The following is a 5,816-nucleotide window of genomic DNA, read 5'->3' on the forward strand; positions in this document are numbered from 1 at the left end:
GTTTATCATAAAAGGAGCGTACCCAAGGAGTGTAGAAGCAAAAGGAATACTCAAGAAGGCAGGGGTGAGGGAGAAAGGTGGGGGTCACTGAAAAACAGTCTTGACTTCTCATATCACACTTATTTGGCAATAACCTTTGCAAATAGGAGTGAATACCGGTAATATTTGATAGACTTCGACCTTCACAAGTTATGGTTTGCAGCGCCTGCACCAGGAGGCCTGGGATTCTTGGCTGCCCCACTGCAGCAAGCATAGGTTGCCACTAGGTGGCAGGAAGTTCTTTCATTGCAAGGCCACACATGTGCTTTATCTGAAATTGATTGCATCCCTGAATCTTGCACCTTATTCCTGTTTTAAATATATAAAAAGCCGAACATTAAAGCCTTGAATTAGATTTGCCTTTTTAAGAAAATTAAAGCAAAAGAAATATATTGGATACCTTTCTTACCCCAGTTGAGCCAGTTAATCCCAGTTCATCCTGGTGGACCTTAGACAAGCCACCTAACCTCTCAGTGCTTTGGTTTTCTTTTCTGCAAATTGGCATACTAATAGTGCCCATTTTATGGGATAGAAATCCAGCAAGTACTCAATCTAGTAGATGATAAATGCTAGCAATAACCCTCAGCTCTTATGGACGTCTCTTCTAGTCTGAAACCATCCACTGTATTTTGTTTTTAGACCCCAGGGAAACTGATTTTAAGCCTCCCTTGGGGTGCCTCTTTGCCTGGCTTCTCTGTCCAGGCCAAAGGTGGTTTAGTCACTCACCTTAGGCTATTAGAGTTCGTTAAAGGAGTCCCTTGTCCCTCTGGTGCTCCTGACCAGTGTGAGCTCAGTGCTGCCGCTGTGGCTCTTCTCTAGGGCTCCTTCCCTCCACCCAGCAAAAGCAGGAACAGAAAGGAGAGTATGAAGTCACACACCTCAGCTCTCTCCAAACAGAAGGAAAACAATACCTGAGAGAAGACGTGAAAAGGCATCCTTCCCATCTCCTGTTACCGATAACTTGTTGTTAATAACTAGAAACCAGTTACCAGTACTTGTGCCAGGAAAAGACGTATTTTCTTAGAGGCCTGTTTCTTTTCATAGGATACTTTGAATAAAACTTAAATGAGGCTCTTGAACACAGATTGGAAGCAATTTCATGGCAATGAAAAATAGGAACTACAGGGCACCAAAATAATAAAAATTGCCTAATGTTAAACAAGACCTGAAACTTTTGTCAGCAGAAAGCTGTGAAGAGGTAAAAACACAACCTATGTGTTCACAAGTTTAGGGGAGGAGCTCGGGACTTCACTCAACAAGAATTTTTTTTTTTTTTTTTTAGATGGAGTTTCACTCTTGTTGCCCAGGCTGGAGTGCAATGGTACGATCTTGGCTCACTGCGACCTCTACCTCCCAGGTTCAAGCGATTCTCCTGCCTCAGCCTCCTGAGTAGCTGGGATCACAGGCGTCTGCTGCCATGCCCAGCTAATTTTTGTATTTTTTTAGTAGAGATGGGGTTCCACCATGTTGCCCAGGCTGGTCTCGAACCCCTGACCCCAGGTGATCTGCCCACCTTGGCCTCTCAAAGTGCTAGGATTACAGGGGTGAGCCACTGCACCTGGCCTCAATCAGGATTTGAATCCTGGCTTTGGCCTGTGTTATCAGGCATTTCTCTGGGCCTCAGTTTCCCCATCTGGCAAAAGGAAATAATACTCCTTTTCATTTAATGAGGGCCTAATATGTGGCAGATGTCTTATTTAGATACCTTGAATGCATTTTTCTAATACAGCCAACACCCTAGAGATTGTTGAATAATATATATTCAGCATTATTGTGAAGAATAAATAATCATGGAAGGCACAAAGAAGACTGAAGCTTCCAGCTCAGAACTCAATACATGTTTATTTCCTTTTTCTTTGGTTCTCCTCCCCTCAAATTCATTAACTGTCTTGAGTTGCTACTGTATGGAGCTGCTATTTTTCTCTACAGTTCCCATGAGGAGAACTAAGTCCCAGAAGTGCTGGGAAACCCTTCACTGTTTGTTGAAAAGCTAAAGAAGCAGGGGAAATTGCACTGTTTAGCACTTTCTTTGAGTCATGCAGCCTCCAACATGAGATAGGCAGAATGGGGACTTGCTACCCTGAAATGCAAGGGTCAATTGTTTAGTGACTAAGAAACGATGGGACATTTACACCTTTCCTTCCTTTTCCCACCCACCATCACATTGGCTGATTCATTTCTTTCAACAAACATTCATGGGTTGCCCATGCCAGGTGATGCCTGATGCAGCATCATCTGCTTGATGCAGAATGTAAATAATTGGGGAAGAATCTTATTATATTTTGAAAAGCTCCTGAGAGAGATTAGGTGACACGTGAAGATAGAGGCTTACAACATAAGGCGCGGTTCACTCGGCCTCCAAAGAGAACAGATAAGGTGCTGTGAGGAGTCTAAGGAGAGAGAAGTCATTTTGGAGTGAGGGGCAGAGTAGTAATCAGGGAAAGCTTCCTGCAGAAATCAGCATTAATTAAAACTAGCCTGTCAAGAAGTATTTATTGAGTATCTACTGTGTGTCAGGTCCTGGATCTGATAGATAGAATTTGGATATGTCAAGAATGTAGAAAAAAATCATTCATTTATTGTCAACAAATATATACTATGCAGTGGCATTGGGAATACAACCACGAACACGGCAGACATAGTCTCCTCAAGGAACTTATAATTGTAGGAAAGACACAGAAAAAAAAATCCATTACTGACTGAGAGGTGATACAAAGAAACCAAGAAAAGATGCCAAGACAGGGATAGAATGAACCAATCTTGCCAAAGTGATCGTCAGGAAAGGCCTTTCTGAAGAGGGAATGCTGAAGCTGGGGCCTAAAGTATAAGAAGCCAGGAATGGAAAAGTGAGAGAAAAGGGAATAGTATTTGCAAAGGCTCACAGTGTGTTTGAAGCATTTCAGGATCAGCGCAACTGGAACATAGCAAGCTGGAGGAAGAGTGATAGGAGATGAAGCTGGGAGGGGCATGCAGGAGCTGGGTTGTATAATACAAGACCTCGGGCAGGGGGTTAGATTTTACATCAGGAGAGACACATAATCATATGGCAAACAGATGGAGTGGGGATTGGGGAAAGCAATGAGACCAGCTAGAAGGTCTTTTCCTCCCACTGGAAAGTGGCTATGAGCTTATTCAGAGGCAAAGGACACAAGAGCGGTGGCAGGGAGCGGAGGAAAGTGTTCAGTATGGCTCAGTGTGAGGCGCAGGGACTGGTAGGTGTGGTGTGAGCTAAAACCTGAAGGCGTCATTGAAGATCATTTAAGCCATGGTGCAAGCCCCACTGGGGCATTTCAGCAGACAGTCGGAAGCCAGGGCCATCTCTGAGCAGAGCAGAGATGTTAAAGCTGGGCTTTAGAAAAAGCCTTATGGGAGGGCCAGGCGCGGTGGCTCACGCCTGTAATCCCAACACTTTGGGAGGCCGAGGCGGGCGGATCACGAGGTCAGGAGATCGAAACCATCCTGGCTAACACGGTGAAACCCCGTCTAAAAAAAAAATACAAAAATTACCCGGGCGTGGTGGCTGCCTGTAGTCCCAGCTACTCGGGAGGCTGAGGCAGGAGAATGGCGTGAACCCGGGCAGCAGAGCTTGCAGTGAGCCGAGATCGTGCCACTGCACTCCAGCCTGGGCGACAGAGCAAGACTCCGTCTCAAAAAAAAAAAAAGAAGAAAAAGCCTTATGGGGTGGAGAGTTGGGGGGGTGGGAATGAATTTTTAGTGTTAGTATTTTAAAATCGCAGCCGGGCACGGTGGCTCACACCTGTAATCCCAGCAATTTCAGAGGCCGAGGCAAGCGAATCGCTTGAGCCCAGGAGTTCAAGACCAGCCTGGGCAACATGGTGAAGCCCTGTCTTTTTTTTTTTTTTTTTTAAGAAAAAGAAAAAATTTGTAAAAAAAAAAAACAAAATCGTCCTGGAAGCTGATAATGGATGGATTGGAGCATGGATTGGGGATGGCTGGTAGGTGCTAGAGGAGCTGTGGAAAGAAAAGTCCACAGGGGGGAATTGTTGGGCCAAGGAGGAATCCAACCAAGCTGTAGTTTCTTGAACGGGAGATATTTCGGGCTCATTCAGGTTGGAGTCTCTCTGAATGGGTGAGACCTCTTAGGACTGCAGGAGTGAAGGAAGAGTGGCTGATAAAGAGGCCAAGGCTTGGGCAAGCCGCTTCGTGTCTCTGATGGAGGAAGAAGAGTGCCCAGGGGCTAGAATCATCCTGGTCAAAGCCCTGATATTCTGTTGTAGGCTGGGGCAGTGGCGAGGGAGGTTGTGTACTCAGGAAAGGGTTGTGTCAGCTCGAGGGCTCTGCTGGCTGTGGCAAAGCCTGGGGAAGGGCAAGGCTGTGGGATGATGGGCCGTCCAAATTTGGTTTCACCTGTTAACGAAGGGGAAAAAAGGTGCTAGACTCAGTTAATCTCCAGAATTGGAAGGGCCTGGGAGGGGAAAGATCTAGTTAGGTTAATAGAGGTTTTTTTACAGATGCAAATCCCTCCCGCACCCTCAACACAAAACAGCTTTGCAGGGGCCATTTCAAATTATGGCAATGAAACATATTTTGGGGTAAAAAATTTTTGTTTTTCTGTCATGTTGAGAGGTGACAGAGTGATGGCAGCCCTCGCTCGCTCTTGGCACCTCCTCGGCCTTGGCGCCCGCTCTGGCCACGCTTGAGGAGCCCCTCAGCCTGCCGCTGCACTGTGGGACCCCCTTCCTGGGATGGCCGAGGCCGGAGCCGGCTCCCTCAGCCTGCCGGGAGGTGGGGAGGGAGAGGCACAGGGGGAACCGGGGCTGCTCGCAGGGCGCTTGCGGGCCAGCTAGAGTTCCGGGTGGGCGTGGGCTTGGCGGGCCCTGCACTCGGAGCGGCGGCCGGCCCCGCCGGCCCCAGGCAGTGAGGGGCTTAGCACCCAGGCCAGCAGCTGCGGAGGGTGCGCTGGGTCCCCCAGCAGGGCCGGCCCACCGGCGCTGCTGTTGATTTCTCGCTGGGCCTTAGCTGCCTACCTGCGGGGCAGGGCTTGGGACCTGCAGCCCGCCATGCCTGAGCCTTCCCCCTACCCCTACCCCTACCCCTACCCCCACCCCTACCCCCACCCCCACCCCCGCCGTGGGCTCCCGAGAGGCCCAAGCCTCCCAGACGAGCACTGACCCCTGCTCCACGGCACCCGGTCCCATCGACCGCCCAAAGGCTGAGGAATGTGGGCACACGGCGAGGGACTGGCAGGTAGCTTCACCTGCGGCCCCAGTGCTGGATCCACTGGATGAAGCCAGCTGGGCTCCTGAGTCCAGTGGGGACTTGGAGAACCTTTATGTTTAGCTAAGGGATTGTAAATACACCAATGAGCACTCTGTATCTAGCTCAAGGTTTGTAAATGCACCAATCAGCACTCTGTGTCCAGCTCAGGGTTTGTGGATGCACCAATCGGCACTCTGTGTCTAGCTAATCTGGTGGGGACTTGGAGAATCTTTATGTATAGCTAAGGGATTGTGAATGCACCAATCGGCACTCTGTATCTAGCTCAAGGTTTGTAAATGCACCAATCAGCACTCTGTGTCTAGCTCAGGGTTTGTAAATATACCAATCAACACTCTGTGTCTAGCTAATCTAGTGGGGACTTGGAGAACTTTTGTGTCTAGCTCAGGGATTGTTAACGCACCAATCAGCACCCTGTCAAAACGGACCAATCAACTCTCTGTAAAACAGACCAATCGGCTCTCTGTAAAGTGGACCAATCAGCAGGATGTGGGTGGGGCCAGATAGGAGAATAAAAACAGGCTGCCCGAGCAAGCAGC

The sequence above is a fragment of the Homo sapiens genome, chromosome 9 (assembly GCF_000001405.40).
Source record: "Homo sapiens chromosome 9, GRCh38.p14 Primary Assembly".
Lineage (NCBI taxonomy): Eukaryota > Metazoa > Chordata > Mammalia > Primates > Hominidae > Homo > Homo sapiens.